The sequence below is a fragment of the Homo sapiens genome, chromosome 8 (genome assembly GCF_000001405.40).
Source record: "Homo sapiens chromosome 8, GRCh38.p14 Primary Assembly".
Taxonomy (NCBI): Eukaryota; Metazoa; Chordata; class Mammalia; order Primates; family Hominidae; genus Homo; species Homo sapiens.
In genome coordinates, this window is record NC_000008.11 from 64,489,527 (window position 1) to 64,508,949 (window position 19,423).

The window sequence follows — 19,423 nt, forward strand, 5'->3', positions numbered from 1 at the left end:
AATAATTGAGTCATTCTAATTTTTTGTTATTATAATCTGTCCTACGCGGGAGTCTCCCATCGCACATCAGTTCTGAATTTCAAAGATGAAGTGCATCCAGGGAAAGAGCCAAGCACTTCCTCTGAAACTTAGTGATGGGATTGGTAAGATATTTAAACTCCTTGGCTCTTGGTTTCCTCATCCATAAAATAAGAATAATAATCCTAAAAAAGTAATAAGAAAAAGAGATATTAGTAGGATAAAAGAGAGATCTTATGTGAGGGTAATTCTTCTCAAGCTTTTAGCCCTATTGAAATTTCATTTCCTAAAATTCCATTCTCTGACTCCCACACAGTTTTGTTATGAGGTCAAGTCTCCCATCTTGGAATAAACAATAATCTTTCTCAACAGGCCTACCTGCTACTTTACCAAAGCCAACTGAGATGTATGAGGGCATTTATAGTTCTATACTGCACAGAGCTCTCACCTTACGTGGAGCAGGTGGGCGCTTCCCTCCCCACTCCTCAAAGGGGGCCCTTTGTCTCTGCAACTGCTCTGGTGCTTCAGGCCCTCTCTGCAGACTGCAGTGCCTCCATGGAAATCCACAGATCGTTTCTTCAGAAAAGGGAAGGGGTGAGAAGCCTCCAAACGTCTGAGTATTTATAGCCTTTTATTCTGATTTGAAACACTACCAATGCAGAAAGGTAAACCAGGGTCTCCAGAAGCTTTTTTTTTTTTTTTGGAAGTTTTGCCTGTGACCCACTTTAGGCACATTTCTGGCTTTCCTTGATGACCACCATCCTAAACCCAGCAGCATATGCCTAAGGATGCAGCCCAGGACTCAAATCTCAGCTCTGCCACTTACTAGAAGTCAGCGGTTTGCCCAGCATATGAAGAATTTCAGGTAAAATCACTATCACAATATAAAGGATTATAGTAAATTTATAACATATATACCTAAGTCATGTACAGATATAGGTAGAGATAAGTGCATCTCCTACCCTTTAGGAACACAGCACTTGTCCTCAATTCTACTCTCCTCCTGTTTCCAGCAATCATCAATACCATCCTAGCGATCCATTTAACTGTGTGTGAGTTTTAAAATTACAAATGAGAAAATTTTTTTCAAGTTTTGTAAAGAAGCATATGTAGCTCCTCAATATACTATGGGAGTTAATTCCACTCCTAAGAGATAAAGTGAAGATGCCGTCTTTTTGCAGGGGATGAGCAAGGCAGGAAAAGTGGAAAGCTGGCATAAGAGAAATTGACTGATATTAGTTGTACCAACTGAAGGAGAAGGCAAGAGGTTAACATGAGAAAGTCTAACTGTGACACTTTTAAGAAAACAATGTCAAAGTTAAGGGAAAGGCGGAAAAAGTACTATCAAAACCTACTTTATTTATTTTGAGTGCAGAACAAAATGGTGGAACAGAAACCTACACCATTCATTCCCCCTGCTGGTACACCAAACTTTAACAACTATCTGCTCACAGAAAAGCACCATCACAAGAATAGAAATCAGGGAGCAATCAGAGCACCTGGTTTTAGGTCATCCTTGACAGAGGCATTAAAGAGGTCAGGAGACACAGTTCTGAAGCTCTAACAACACCCGCTTTCCATCCCCCAGCAACAGCTAAGCAGTCTGGAGAGAGAATCTGTCCACTTTGGGGAAGGAGAGCACAGTGACAGGGAGACTTTACATGGAACTCAATGCTGCCCTGTCACAGCATAGAATAAAGCCATGTGGGGCTCAGCCAGTACCTGTGCACAGAGGGAGCACTTGAACAAACCCAGAGAAAGGGGAATTGCCTATCCCAGTGGTCAGAACTTGGGTTTCTCTGCAAGCCTTACCACCATGGGCTGACGTGCTCTGGGGAGACAATTTGACTTCCTCTTTTCCTATCTTTTCCATCAATGTGAAAATCCTCAATAAAATACTGGCAAACCAAATCCAGCAGCACATCAAAAACCTTATCCAACACGGTCAAGTCAGCTTCATACCTGGGATGCAAGGCTGGTTCAACATACGCAATTCAATAAACGTAATCCATCATATAAACAGAATCAATGACAATAACCACATGATTATCTCAATAGATGCAGAAAAGGCCTTCCATAAAATTCAACACCCCTTCATGCTAAAAACTCTCAATAAACTAGGTAGCAATGGAATGTGTCTCAAAATAATGAGACATTTATGACAAACCCACAGCCAATATCATACCGAGTGGGCAAAAACTGGAAGCACTCCCTATAAAAACCAGCACAAGACAAGGATACCCTCTCTCACCACTTTTATTCAACATAGTATTGGAAGTTCTGGCCAGGGCAATCAGGCAAGAGAAAGAAATAAAGGGTATTCAAATAGGAAAAGAGAAAGTCAAATTGTCTCTATTTGCAGATGACATGATTGTATATTTGGAAAACTCCATTGTCTCAGCCCAAAATCTCCTTAAGCTGATAAGCAACTTCAGCAAAGTCTCAGGATACAAAATCAATGTGCAAAAATCACAAGCATTCCTATAGACCAATAACAGACAAGCAGAGAGCCAAATCACGAGTGAACTCCTATTTACAATTGCTACTAAGAAAATAAAATACCTAGGAATACAACTTATAAGGCATGTGAAGAACCTGTTCAAGGAGAACTACAAACCACTGCTCAAGGAAATAAGAGAGGATACAAATGGGAAAACGTTCCATGCTTATGAATAGGAAGAATCAATATCACGAAAATGGCCATGTTGCCCAAAGTAATTTATAGATTCAATGCTATCTCCATCAAGCTACCACTGACTTTCTTCACAGAATTGGAAAAAACTACTTTAAACTTCACATGGAAACAAAAAAGAGCCTGCATAGCCAAGTAAATCCTAAGCTAAAAGAATAAAGCTGGAGGCATCACACTAACTGGCTTCAAACTATACTACAAGGCTACAGTAACAAAAACAGCATGGTATTGGTACCAAAACAGATACATAGACCAATAGAACAGAACAGAGGCCTCAAAAATAACACCACACATCTACAACCATCTGATCTTTGACAAATCTTACACAAACAAGCAATGGGAAAAGGATTACCTATTTAATAAGTGGTGTTGGGAAAACTAGCTAGCCATATGCAGAAAACTGAAACTGGACCCCTTTCTTACACCTTATACAAAAATTAACTCAAGATGGATTAAAGACTTAAACATAAGACCTAAAACCATAAAAGAAGAAGAAAACCCAGGGAATACAATTCAGGACATAGGCACGGGCAAAGACTTTCATGACTAAAACACCAAAAGCAATGGCAACAAAAGCCAAAATTGATAAATAGGATCTAATTAAACTAAAGAGCTTCTGCACAGCAAATGAACCTATCATCAGAGTGAACAGGCAACCTACAGAATGGGAGAAAATTTTTGCAATCTATCCATCTGACAGAGGGCTAATATCCAGAATCTACAAGGAACTTAAACAAATTTACAAGAAAAAAACAACCCCATCAAAAATTGGGCAAAGTATATAAACAGACACTTCTCAAAAGAAGACATTTATGCGACCAACAAACACATGAAAAAAAGCTCATCATCACTGGTCATTAGAGAAATGCAAATCAAAACTACAATGAGATACCATCTCACACCAGTTAGAATGGCGATCATTAAAAAGTCAGGCAACAACAGATGCTGGAGAGGATGTGGAGAAATAGGCGCACTTTTACACTGTTGGTGGGAGTGTAAATTAGTTCAACCATGTGGAAGACTATGTGGCAATTCCTCAAGGATCTAGAACTAGAAATACCATTTGACCCAGCAATCCCATTACTGGGTATATACCCCAAGGATTGTAAATCATTCTACTATGAAGACACATACATGTGTATGTTTATTGTGGCAGTATTCACAATAGCAAAGACTTGGAACCAACCCAAATGTCCATCAGTGATAGACTGGATAAAGAAAATGTGGCACATGTACACCAGGGAATACTATGCAGCCATTAAAAGGATGAGTTCATGTCCTTTGCAGGGACATGGATGAAGCTGGAAACCATCATTCTCAGCAAACTAACACAGGAACAGAAAACCAAACACTGCATGTTCTCACTCATAAGTGGGAGTTGAACAATGAGAACACATGGACACAAGGAGGGGAACATCACACACTGAGGCCGGTTGGGGAGTAGGGAGGCTAGGGTAAGGATAGCATTAGGAGAAACACCTAAGGTAGGTGATGGATTGATGGGTGTAGCAAGCCACCATGGCACGTGTATACCTATGTAACAAAACTGCATATTCTGCACATGTACCCCAGAACTTAAAGTTTAATAAAAAAAAAAGAACTGAAAAAAGAAATAAGTGAATGTGAAATGAAGAAAGCAATACAAAAGATCAATGAAAAAAAAAGGTGGTTTTTGAAAAGATAAAATTGACAAACCTTTAGCCAGACTAAGAAAAAAAAAAGACCAAAGTAAATAAAATCAAAGGTGAAACAGGAGACATTATAGCTGATACTTCAGAAATTCAAGGTATCTTTAGTGGCTACGCTAAGCAACTATTTGCCAATACATTAGAAAATCTAAATTCCTAGACACATACAACTTATCAACATTGAACTATGAAGAAATCCAAAACCTGGACAGACCAATAACAAGTAACAAGATTGAAGCCATAATAAAAAAAGTCTTCCAGTACAGAAAAGCCTGGGACCCTATGGCCTCACTGCTGAATTCTACCAAACATTATAATAACTAATACCAATCCTACTCAAACTGTTCCAAAAAATAGAGGAGGAGGGAATACTTCCAAAATCATTATATGAGGCCAGTATTAACTTGATACCAAAACCATACGAAGATATATCAAAAAAAGAAAACTACAGGCTGATATTGCTGATGAATATAGATGAAAAATCTGTAACAAAATACCAGCAAACTGAATTCAACAATACATTAAAAAGATCACTCATCATGACCAAGTGGGATTTATCCCAGGGATGAAAAGATGGTTTAACATACACAACTCGATCAATGTGATACTTCATATTAACAGAATGAAGGATTGAAGAAAATGATATGATCATTTTAATTGATGCTGTAAAAGCATTTGAAAAAGTTCAACATTCATTAGTGATAACAACCCTCAAAAAAACTGGGTATAGAGGAAACATACTTCAACATAATAAAAGTCATATGATATGGTTTGTCTGTGTCTCCACCCAAATCTCACCTTAAATTGTTGTTCCCATAATCCCATGTGTCATGGGAGGGACCCAGTGGGAGGCAATTGAATCATGGAGGAGGTTACCCTCATGCTGTTCTCATGACAGGGAGTGAGTTCTTATGAGAGCTGATGGTTTTATAAGGGATTTTCCCCCTTTGCTTGGCACTTTTCTCTCCTGCTGGCATGTGAAGGACGTGTTTGCTTCCCCTTCCACCATGAATGTAAGTTTCCTGAGGCCTTCTTAGCCACGTGAAACTATGAGTCAATTAAGCCTCTTTCCTTTATAAATTACCTGGTCTTTATTAGCCGTATGAGAACAGACTAATACACCATATATAACAGACCCTCAGTTAGAATCATATTAAATGGGGAAAAACTGAAAGCTTTTCCTCTTAGATCTGGAACACGACAAGAATGTCCACTTTCATCACTGTTATGCAACATAGTACTGGAAGTCCTACCTGGACCAATCAGGCAAGAGAAAGAAATAAAAAGCATGCAATTTGGAAAGGAAGAAGTCAAATTATCTTTGTTTGCAGATGATATGATCTCATATTTGGAAAAAAACCTAAAGACTTCATCAAAAAACTATTAGAACTGATAAATTCAGTAAAGTTGCAGGATACAAAATTAACATAGAAAAATCAGTAGCATTTCTATATGCCAACAGTGAACAATCTGAAAAAGAAATCAAAAGAGTAATCCCATTTACAATAGCCACAAATAAAATAGCTAGGAATTAGCTTAATCAAAGTGAAAGTGAAAGGTCTCTACAGTGAAAGCTATAAAATAGTGATGAAAGTAATTGAAGAGGATACACACAAAAAAGTGGAAAGATATTGTTAAAATGGTTATACTACCCAAAGCAATCTACAGATTCAATGCAATATCTAATAAAATACCAATGACATTCTTCACAGAAATAGAAAAGGTATTCCTAAAGTTTATATGGAATCACAAAAGACCCAGAATAGACAAAGCTATCATAAACAAAAAGAACAAAACGGGAGGAATCACATTACCAGACTTCAAATTATACTACAGAGTTATAGTAACCGAAATAGCATGGTACCAGCATAAAAACAAACCCATAGACCAACAGAACACAATAGGGAACCCAGAAAAAAATTCACACACCAATAGTGAGCTCATTTTCGACAAAGGTGCCAACAACACACATTGGAGAAAAGACAATCTCTTCAATAAGTGATGCTGGAAAAACTAGATATCCATATGTAAAAGAATGAAACAAGACCCCTATCTCTCATCATATACAAAAACCAAGTCAAAATGAATTATAGACTTAAATCTAAGACCTCAAACTATGAAACTACTACAAGAAAACATTGAGGACACTCTCCAGGACATTGGACTGGGCAAACATTTCTTGAATAATATCTCGTAAGCACAAACAACCAAAGCAAAAATGGACAAATGGAATCACATCAAGTTAAAAAACTTCTGCATAGCAAAAGAAACAATGAAGTGAAGAGACAATCCACAGGATGGGAGAAAATATTTGCAAACTACCCATCTAACAAGATATTGGTAACCAGAATATATAAGAATTTTAAACAACTATATAGGAAAAAATCTAATAATCTAATTTAATAGTAAGCAAACTATTTGAATAGACATTTTTCAAAAGAAGACATACAATAGGCAAACAGGCATATGGAAAGATGCTTGACATTATTGATCATCAGAGAAATGCAAATCAAAAGTGTGAAATGTCATCTCACCTCAGTTAAAAAGGCTTTTATCCAAAAGTCAAGTAAATGCTGGTGAGGATGTGGAAAGAAGGGAACCTTCGTGTTGATGGGAGTGTAAATTAGTACAACCACTATGGAGAACAGTTTGGAGGTTCCTCCAAAAACTAAAAGTAGAGCTACCATACAATCCAGCAATCTCACTGCTGGGTTTATACCCGAAACAGAGGAAATCAGTATATTAAAGAGATATCTACCCTCTCATGTTTGTTGCAGCACTATCAAAATAGCCAAGATTTGGAAGTAACCTAAGTGTCCATCAACAGATGAATGGATAAAGAACATGTGGTACATATATACAATGGAATACTAGTCAGCCATAAAAAAGAATGAGAGTCTGTCATTTGCAACAACATGGATGGAACTGAAAATCAGTATGTTAAGTGAAATAAGCTAGGCACAGAAAGACAAACTTCACATGTTCTCACTTATTTGTGGGATGATTAATGGATACAAAAAAAAATAGATGAGTAAATAAGACCAACTATTTGATAGCACAACAGGGGGACTATAATCAATAATTTAATTGTGCATTTTTAAAAAATTAAGAGTATACTTGGATTGTAACACAAGGGATAAATACTTGGGGAAATGAATACACAATTTCATTGATGTGATTATTACGCATTGCATGGCTGTACCAAAATATCTCATGTAACTCATAAATATATATACTTAATATGTACCCACAAAAATTAAAAATAAAACAGTTTTTTAAAAAACACGCTGGGCACAGTGGCTCATGCCTGTAATCCCAGCACTTTGGGAGGCCAAGGTAGGTGGATCATAAGGTCAGGAGTTCAAGACCAGCCTGGTCAACATGGTGAAACCCTATCTCTACTAAAAATACAAAAATTAGCCGGGTATGCTGGCAGGAGCCTGTAATCCCAGCTACCTGGTAGGCTGAGGCAGATAATTGCTTGAACCCGGAAGGCAGAGGTTGCAGTGAGCCAAGATCATGCCACTGCACTCTAGCCTGGGCAACAGAGCGAGACTCCATCTCCAAATATATAAACATATATAAAATATATAAATATATATAAATATATATATAAAAATATAGATAAATATAGATAAATATAGATAAATATATAAATATATATAAATATAGATAAAAATAGATAAATATAGATAAATATATAAATATAGATAAATATATCAATACATATAAATATATAAATATATATAAATCTATAAATACATAAATATATAAATAAATATAAATATATATAAATATATAAATACATAAATATATAAATAAATATATAAATATATAAATATATAAATATATATAATATAAATATACATAAATATATAAATACATGTAAATATATATTTATATATTTATATGTAAATATATATTTAAATATATATAAATATATATATAAATATATAAATATATATATGGCAATTAGTTAAGTATCATTAAACAAGAAGTTATCCAAGTGTGTGTGTGCATATAAGAGAGAGAGAGAGAGAGAGAAAGAAAGAGAGAGACACAAAGGAGTTGAGAAAGAGAATAGAAGGTAGAATTGAAGCAGCTGGCTACGTTAGATAAAATACTAAAATACGTGCATGTGTAAGTTGCCACCATTACATAAGATCATTGCCACAACCATAAACTATCCTAACAGAGTGAAAACAACTCAACAACTTTATGAGTACCAACACAGTGAAACATACACATGCACATTCAGAATGTCTTAAAGCTTTCGCAATGGCATGAATGAGTCTTAAATTGTAATAGTATATAATGCAAAGATTCCATTTTGAAACTAAGACAATACAGGCACATCTGCCCTGGAAGATGCACATTAGTCAGCATGGGGTCTGTAGCAGAAGTTGCTATTTGGCCTCCAACATCCATTTTCCCCTTCCCTCCTGGTAAAACAATTTTTGGCTAGGCAAATACCTGCCCAAAATAGGGATAATTGTTGCAAACCCTTCTGGGAGTCAGGACTAAGTCCTGGCCAATGGTCTAACAGGGAAAAGATTGTATGCAATTTCTGAGCTGTGCCCTTAAAGGGAAAAGATATGTCTTTCTCTTTCTCTTTCTCTTTGTCTTCCCTTTTCTCACTTCCTGAGGGCCTGAACGTAGAGTAGATGTTGTAGGTCATCTTAGTCCATGTGAAAAAGATAGTGCCCTAGGAATAGCAGAACAACCAACAACAAGGCACCTTGAACTATTCAGTTTATAATGAGGCTGAACTTCTTACATGAGTAGGAAAAAAAATCTTTCTTGAATAAGCTACTACCATTCTCAGTCTCTGTCACAGAAACCAAGCGCATGTTAAGATATCATCTCTCTTTTTTGCAAAAGTGCTAACACCATGTCATTAAGTTTGCATTGACTAACATGCCAGAGTTAGGAGTATGATAGGGTATAAAGAATTCCACAACCTTCCTCTGAATATAAATGTGATATCGGAATTGCCTCTGTGGCCTCCACATGAGTTCACCCGCAGTAGCAGCAGACCCTTCTCAGAGTGCTAGGGCTGTTCAAGACCAGCAACCCTCATTGTCTCTACCTGAGGGCTTTCTCTTCTCATAAGGGTTTGCTTGTCTCCCTCACGCCTGTAATCCCAGCACTTTGGGAGGCCAAGGTGGGCGGATCACGATGTCAGGAGATCGAGACCATAGTGGCTAACACGGTGAAACCATGTATCTACTGAAAATACAAAAAAAAAAAAAAATTAGCCTGGCGTGGTGGCGGGCACCTGTAGTCCCAGCTACTCTGGAGGCTGAGGCAGGAGAATGGTGTGAACCCGGGAGGCAGAGCTTGCAGTAAGCCGAGATCGCGCCACTGCACTCCAGCCTAGGTGACAGAGCGAGAAAAAAAAATTAAAAAAAAAAAAATCAAGGGATGGGCAGAGAAATTGATGTGCTTGGGGGCAGCTCTCAGTCAAAGGGGAATGGGAGAGGAGGATAAATGCCTCGCCTTCCCGCCCTTCATTGGAGAATGCTGAGGAGAATTCCCTCTGGCTTTTCAGACTCCCCTAGGCCCATCCAGACCTAGTTGCTCCCAGCTCTCTTTAAGACATGGTTTATTCTCTTTTCTCCTTTCCCTGTCTCACTTTTCCCCCTTTTACCCCAGTGTGCTGTCTGTGATCTCCTCTCAAATAAACTATGCAGTCAAGTCTTTGTTTCAGGATCTGCTTTTGGCAGACCCAAACCAAATGACCCGAAGTCTTAATTCTCTGACACTCTAAAGATATCCAAAAGTAGTTAGAAAGAAGAGTGATAAATGACAAAAAAAATTGAAAGTAAAACAGTGGGAAATAATGACACACGTTTATCTTCAGGTTGTTTGTGTGAAGTTTCTCAACTTCTCTTTTGTCACAGATCCTACTAGGTTTTCCCAGTATGTAACAATTTCAAGCAAAACCTTGTTCATGATATTGAAGATTGTCATAAAATGTTCTGCTGTAAGCAATAAGCATCTCTAACATATAATGATCCTTTTGATAAAAAGATTTCTGGGCCAAATTAAAATAATAATTTGTTCAGCCAACAAACTAAGTGAACACACAAAGTTTCTTCAAGATATTCATTGTAAATCATCACGTAAGTTCATTTCTCTTTTACTTCCCTTCAAGCCAGGAAAGGCTTGAGGAACCCCTTGGCTGTTTGCCTGAATTTGCTATTGAAATACCTTTTAGAAAAGTCCAATTTCTGGCTTTGATTTTCTTGCATTCAGAGGAACTTCCTGTATATATGCTTGAAACTGTATGCATGACAGTAACAGCACAGTTTACTGATGAGTAATAGCTTTTTGGTTTCTTCTATTGCTAGTGAAAACGTAATTCTTATTAATAAGGGAATTCAGTGAGTATAAAAATGAAGGGAACAATAGTTTAAAAGCTACTCATTTCCAAAATGTTTTATTCATATTGCTTTATATTTTTATAGACTTAATTTACTGATCTGACTCACCCTTAATTTTAAGAACTATAAACTATTGAAAGTATAACTGTCACCATACCAGAGGCAGCATTATCTTCGCTTGTCATCTTTCCAACTAGATAATAGATGTACAGAAACTAATCTTACTGTAATACTCTGCTGTGTGTAGTAAACTTCATGATAACAAATCTTTGTATTTTAAAATAGAGGCATCGAAAAAAATGTAGATGCAGAAAATTTAACACAACTAATTCCAAGAGGTCTTGCTGCTTTGAAATGCAGAGCTCCTGCCATAAAGTAATGGATTACTAACTAGCACCTCTAATGTTCTTCTTTTAAAGAAAACCAGGCCAACAACAGACAATGAATATGTGGTAAAGGGTGACCCCTTCAAAAAGAGAAATATTTGATCATCGCACTGCAGTAAATGGGACCAGATAGCACAGGTCATTCTCATAAGATGCTCTTACTGCTCTACTTATGAAGCCATTGCATTATCTTTGATGTCATATTGTTTCCTATTTTTCAGAACTTAAAGTCAGACCAGGATTTCTCTTGCTCACTTCACAGTGTGGTGCCACGTGGAAGAAACTAGCATGGGTTAGATTTCACCAGCCTGTGGATCCCATTGAGGTCTCATTTCAGTTAGTGCTAAAATTATAAGCTCCACCTTCTTGTGCAGGTGCTTAGCCACACTCAAAAAGTCCTGGGTCCCTTCTGACCGTACACGTGTGTGTTGTCTCAAGTCCACTTGTGTTCTGAGCTGCTGCCAGTACTTTCTGTAGGCACACAGATCCATCCTGTGCAGTTCTAACAAGTGCTCTCCACTGAGAGTGCCCAGTTTCTGCTTCCAGCCATGTCAGACTCTCCCAGGGTTCCATGTCTTGATCTGAAGAAATGACCCCTTAGCAAAGTAACTCCAGGGGCCCTTGAAGAACATTGTCCTGCACAGTGTCTCACCAAGCCTCTCAGGAAGTCAGCACCTTCAGCTTCTGGCTCTGAGCACCTGGCCTGCCGTCAGCAGCTACTCCAACAAAACAGAAATCTCATCAAGGGGGAAAGAAAAGTTTCCCCTAAATCTTTAGAGAAGAAACGAAACCAAACATTTTCCTCAAGGGACTCAAGTGCAGAAGAAATACAATTCTTATTGAATGGAAAAATGTTAGATTATCATGAGTGAGTAGCAGTTTAGTCATTTAGAGAAGTCATCTCAGACAACTTTCCTACTGGCAATTCTGTACAATTGCAGAGTTAAACAATTCCCTGTAGGGAGGTTTCCCAGATCAAAGGAACAGACTGCTCCAAGTCCCACTTTTGCAACATGGAACACAAAATTCTTGTTGTTTGAAGTTACTGACTATATTCTTAATCTTCTACCATCCACATTAATATATTAAAAATATTAAAGACAGGCTGGTCATGGTGGCTCATGCCTGTAATCCCAGAGCTATGGGTGGCTGTGGCAGGAAGATTACTTGGGGCAGGAGTTCAAGACTAGCCTGGGCAACATAGCAGGACCCCATATTTACAAAAAAAATTAAAAATAGCAGGACATGATGGTGTGTAGTCCCAGCTACACAGGAGGCTGAGGTGGGAGGATCACGTTAGACCAGGAAGTCGAGGCTGCAAGGAGCTATGATAGTGCCACTGCACTCCAGCCTAGGCAACAGAGTGAGACCTCGTCTAACAGAAAAAAAAAAAAAGACAAATTATAAGATGCACCCAGGCTTAATTAGGAAGCTCTTTATCCCACCCCTTCGCCAATTCCCAACTGATCAGCAGTAAAATAAAGTTCAATTCTGAAACACAGGCTGCAAAACGCACCACATCTTGCTTCAAGAATGTTGCTGACATTTAACCTGGCTTTTTTCCCCAGAGAATCTTTAAGATTGCTATGAAAATAATATGTATCTAAAAGAAATTGCTGAATAAAATAAGCAACTTCATGTCAATATGTATGATCTCTAGACATTTTTTATTATACCACAAGATCATGCAATAAGATCTTTTGTAAGATCTTATTGTTTTACAATTTCACAAACTGCTTTTCTCACCTCAAGCATATGGTAAGAATCTGTGATTCAAATGTTTCTCAAATTCTCTTTTTTTTAATGGCTCCATAATATTCCATCAATGAATAAAGCATAGTTTACTTAAGTATTACCATATTATTAAACATTTAGATGTTTTTGTTTTTAGCTATTATAGAAAATGTTATAATGTGTAGCTTATACTTCATAAATCTTTGAATCTCAAATTATTCCCTTAGAACATATTCTGTAAAGTAAAATTTTGAAGCATAGAGAAAATATTTGGTATAAGTATATAGCAAAACTTCTTTTCATTAAATTTAACAATTTGTAAAACCCTAGAAATACATAAGTATTCATTTCACTAGATCCTTATTAACTTTGAATACTATCATTTAAAAAGTCTCCTCACTTCTCAAGATGGAGTATCCAAGGTATGAATTTAACCTTCCCATTTAAAACAAATAAAACACCAGACAAAGCAGATGAAACAATAACACTCAAAATATTGGACATCAGGCAGCCAAAAATAGAGATTCTTCAAAAATAAATGAGGCAAACACTTATTTATCCAGCTAACTGGAGAAAGTGTCTTCATGGCAACACAGAGACGGGGAGCCCAGGCAAAACTAAGTCTTCCTGAGTTGAGGAGAAAAAGTTGGCTGTCAGGGTGTATTAGTCTGTTTTCATGCTGCTGATAAAGATATATCTGAGACTGTGCAATTTACAAAAGAAAGAGGTTTAAGGGATTTACAGTTCAACGTGGCTGAAAAAGCCTTACAATCATGGCAGAAAGCAAGGAGGAGAAAGTCAAGTATTACATGGATGGCAGCAGGCAAAGAGAGAGTTCGTGCAGGGAAATCCCCATTTTAAGACCATCAGATCTTATAAGACTCTTTCACTATCACAAGAACAGTACAGGAAAGACCCGCCTCCAAAATTCAATCACCTCCCACAAGGTTCCTCCCACAATGCATGGGAATTACAGGAGTTGCAATTCAAAATGAGATTTGGGTAAGGACACAGCCAAACCGTATAACTGGGGAAGCCAAGGAAACTAGGGTTCACATGGCAGAGTACTATAAAGGAAAAAAACTATAGATCTGCATCTGGTCCCTTCAAGTCTTGAGCTGAGTACAAGTCAGAGAATAAATGTGAGGAAGGGCCAAGAAAGAACCGCTCTAAGGAAATAGAAAGAATAGTGCTCAGATCAAATATAGAGCTTGGAATAGTGCTTATTCTCAACAGCCAGAATAGAGTACCTCATTTTGGGACCCATCTGTTAGAGTACTAAGAAGGGTCTTAATTCCTTAATGGGAAAAATTAACCTTAGATTAAATACAGTTCTTGTACCACCCAACAAATCTTAAATAAAAGACCTGAAAATTTCAAACTGTTTCCAACTAATCTAATCACATACCAGAACAAAGCTTAACAATAATTATAGGAATACAAAATAACTAACACCTAGCAAGATAAAATTCACAATGTCTTGCATGCAATCAAAAATTGCCAAGCATGCAAAAGGAACAAAAACACAATCCATAATGAAGACAAAAATCTACTAATTAAAATTGATCCAATATGACATAGATAATAGAAGTAGTAAATAAGGATGTTAAAACAGTTATAGCTGAATTCCATATATTCAAAAAACTAGAATATTAAATAGATTAAGTAGAGATATGGCAGATACAACAAAGACCCAAATTCAAAGACCTAAATTGAACTTTTGGAGATGAAGATTAAAATTTCTGAGATGAAAAATATACTGGATGAGATTAATTGCAGATAAAATATTATGAAAGAGAGGTGGTCAGTTGGGAAAGCAGAAATATTGGTCAAAGGGTGCAAGGTTTCATACAGACCAGTTTGGTCACCATACTTTGTAATAATGTATTGTATATTTCAAAGTTGTTAAAAGAGTAGATTTTTAAATGTTCTCACCACAAATAATAATAGGTAGGTGAGGTGATGGATATGTTAATTAGCTTATTTAATAACTCTACAGTGCATACATATGCCAAAACATCACACTGTGATGTATCACATTGTGGGGTATCACATTGTACCTCATAAACATATACAGTCATTATTTGTCAATAAAATAAAAATGACGGATTTTCTACAAAGGTGCCAAGAGCACACAATAGGGAAAGGAAACTCTCTTAAATAAATGGTGTTGAGAAAACTGGGTATCTACAAGCAGAATGAAATTGAACCTTTATCTCACATCATAAACAAAAAATCAACTCAAAATTGATTAAAGATTTAAATGTAAGACCTAAAACTATACAACTCTTAGAAGAAAATATAGAACAAAATCTCCATAAGGTTGGTCTGGACAATGACTTTTTGGCTAGGACCCCTTTTTGAAGCACCAAAAACAAAAATAGAGAAATAAAATTGTATCAAACTTAGAAGCTCTTACACAGAAGCTTTACTTAACAAAGTAAAGAGAGAACCTACAGAATGGGAGAAAATATTTGCAAACCATACCTCTAATAAGGGTTAATATCAAAAATATATAAGAAACTAAACTCAATAGCAAGAAAATAAATAGCCCTATTAAAAATGGACAAAAGACTTAAATAGACATTTCTCAAAAGAAGACACGCAAATGGCCAGTATGTATATGAAGAATGATCAACATCACTAACCATCAGGGAAATATAAATTAGCACCACAATGAAATAGCTATCACCTTGCACCTGATAGGATGGCTATTATCAAAAAGACAAAAGATAACAAATATTGGCAAGGATGTAGAAAACAGGAAACACTTGTACACTGTCAATGGGAGTGTAAATTAGCATGGTCATTATGAAAAACAGTATGAAATTTCCTCAAAAAATTAAACAGAGAAATACCATATGACCCAGCACTCCCACTTCTGGATATAAATCCAAAAGAAATGAAATCAGTATCTCAAAAAGATAGCTGCATTCCCATGTTTATTGCAGAATTATTCACAATACTGAAGATACGAAAAGCAACCTAAGTGTCTGTCAACCAATGAATGAATAAAGAAAATGTGGTATATACACACAATGGAATACTATACGGCCTTTAAAAGGAGGAAATACTGTCATTTTTGACAATATGGATGACCTGGAGGACATAATACCAGGTCAAATAAGCCTGGCACAGAAAAACAAATACTGTTTGATCTCACTTATGTCTTATGTGTGGAATCTAAAAAAGTTGATTTCATAGAAACAGAGACTAGAAAAGTGATTACCAGAGGCTGGGTGAGGGAGAGGTTTGAGGAAAGAGATGATAATCAAAGGGTACAAAATTTAAGTTAAATTGGAGGAATACATTTTAGTAATCTACTGCACTGCATGGTGACCACACAGTTAATAATAATGTATTGTATATTCAAAATTGCTAATAGATTTTTAATGTTCACACCACAAAATAAAAAGATAAATTTGTAAGGTATCGATATGTTAATTAGCTTGATTTTATCTTCCTACAGTGTATACATATATCAGCACATATTTTTGTGCCCCATAAATGTATACAATTATTATATGTCAATTGAATTTTTTTGAAGTTTGAAAATCACAAGTATAGTAGGATGAAATAAAACATTTGGTGTTTATGTTTCAAAATATTTTTTAAAGATATTATGGACGAAAGAATTAGTGAACTTGAAAACAAAGCAAATCCTAGGCAAAATAAGACTCTAAAAAAAGAGTAAATAAAAAGGAACAGAGCCTCAGGAAACTGTAGGATAACATCAACCAGCCAAATATACTGCTATTGGAGTCCCTGAAGAAGTGAGAGGGAAAAGGCTAAAAAATATTTTTTTAAATGACAAAACTTGTCCAAATCTGATGAAAACTATAATCTTGAAGATCTATGAAGCTCAACAAATTCCAAGCACAAAGAGCTTGAAGAAAACTATACAAAGACACATAATAACCAAATAAACCTATAAGTTTAATGTGATGTGTATGCACATGATAGCAGCTTCTTAAAAATAGAATTTGACAAGCCAATTCTAAATTTATATGAACATGTAAAGGACCTGGAATAGACAAAACAAAATATATAAAAAGAACAAAGTTTGAGAATTTTCACTACCTAATTTCAAATCTTGCTCTAAAGCTACATGACTCAAGGTAGTATGGTTTTGATGTAAAGATAGGCAGACACATTACTAAAACACAATAAACAAACCAAAAATAGACTCATATATACATGGTCAATTAATTTTTGGCAAAAGTGCTGAAATGACTTGGATGTCCGTCCTCTCGAGATCTCATGTTGAAATGTGATTCTTAGTGTTGGAGGTGGGGCCTTCCGGGAGGTAATTGGATCATGGGGGTACACCCCTCATGAAAGGTTTAGCACCATCCCCTTGATGATAAATGAGTTTATGCTTAGGTATTCCATAGGAGATCTGTTTGTTTAAAATTCTGGGACCTCCTCCTTCTCTCCCTCTTGCTGCCACTCTTGCCATGTGATGTGCCTGCTCCCACTTTGCCCTCTGCCATGATTGTAAGCTTTCTGAGACCCCCCACCAGAAGCGAGCAGATGTTGGTGCCATGCTTGTATAGTCTGCAGAATTGTGAGCCAATTAAACCTCTTTTCTTTACAAACTACACAGCCTCAGGTATTTCTTTATAGCAATGCAAGAACAACCTAACACAAATGCTAACTAATGTTAACTAATGTTATTAAATGGCATAAGGATTTTTTTTTTCAACAAATGGCATTGGACCAACTGCATGTTTATTATTTTTAAAAAAGAAAGAAAAGAACCTTAATGCTTAATTTATGTCAAAAACAAAAATTAATTCAAAATGGATCATAGGGCTAAATGTAAAATTTTAAACTATGAAACATCTAGGAGAAAACATGGAAGAAAACATTTGGTACCTTGGAGCAAATATTCATTAGTATTAAAAAAATACGGGCAGGGTGCGGTGGCTCACGCCTATAATCCCAGCACTTTGGGAGGCCAGGGTGGGCGGATAATGAGGTCAGGAGTTCAAGACGAGCCTGACCAACATAGTGAAACCCCATCTCTCATAGTGAAACCCCGTCTCTACTAAAAATACAAAAATTAGCCAGGCATGGTGGCACATGCTTGTAATCCCAGCAACTCAGGAGGCTGAAGCAGGAGAATCCCTTGAACCCAGGAGGTGGAAGTTGCAGGGAGCCGAAATTGTGCCACTGCACTCCAGCCTGGGTGACAGGGCAAAACTCCATCTTAAAAAAAAAAAAAAAAATTACTGGCCAGGCATGGTGGCTCATGCCTGTAATCCAAGCACTTTGGGAGGCTGAGGTGGGTGGATCACCTGAGGTCAGAAGTTCAAGACCAGCCTGGCCAACATGGTGAAATCCTGTCTCTACTAAAAATACAAAATTTAGCTGGGCATGGTGGCTGTAATCCCAGCTACTCAGGAGGCTGAGGCAAGAGAATTGCTTGAACCCAGGAGGCAGAGGTTGCAGTGACCTGAGATTGCACCATTGCACAACAGCCTGGGTAACAAGTGTGAAACTCCATCTCAAAAAAAATAAAAAAGAAAGAAAGAAAGAAAATACCAACCTCAAAGGAAAAAAAAATGAGAAATTGAACTTGGTCAAAACCAAAATCTTTTGTTCCTTAAAAGACATTATAAAGAAAATCGAAAGGCAATCTGTAGAGATAAATATTTAAAAATATATATGACAGAAAATTTGTATTCAGGATATATAAAGAAGTCTTAAAACTCAATAATAAAAGAGACAACTCAATTTTTAAAAAAGATTCAGACACTTCGCCAAAGAGGTATATAAATGGCCAGTAAGCACTTGAAAGTTCTTAATTTTATTAGTCATCAAGAAAATGAAAATAGAAATCACAAGACACCATTTCACACCTACTAGAATAGCTAAAATTAAAAGGGCTAAGGACAGTCCATTTTGGGGAGAGTGTGAAGAAATTCAATCTCTCATTTATGGCTGGTAGAATTATAAATGATGCAGCCACTTGGGATTTCTATCCTTTTCCTAAAATGCTAGATATATACTTACTGTATAACTGAACACTTCTACTCCTAAGTATTCACCCAAAAGAAATGAAAGCACAAGTAATAAAGAGTCTGATTCTGTTTTTGTTGTTCAGTACCGACAATGTTAAAGCCCAGCCCCTTCCCCTTTTGCCCATATCTGTGCAAGACAGTGAGAAAACATGGGCATCCCTTCCTTCCTTTGGTACTGGAGAGAGATTCAAACGATGCAAACTCAGCTCATGGGAACACTCACCTTGACTCCACTCATTAACTACAATAAAACCAAGTCCTCCAGCCTGTGCAATATAGGGAGATCCCAACTCTACAAAAAAATTAAAAAATTAGCCAAGCATGGTGGTGGGCATGTCTGTAGTCCCAGCTGTTTGGGAGGCTGAGGTGAAAGGATTGCTTGAGCCAGAGAGGTTAAGGCTGCAGTAAGCGGAGATTGCACTGCTGCACTCCAGCTTAGGCAACAGAGCAAGAGTCTCTCTCTCTCTCTCTCTCTCTCTGACACGCACACACA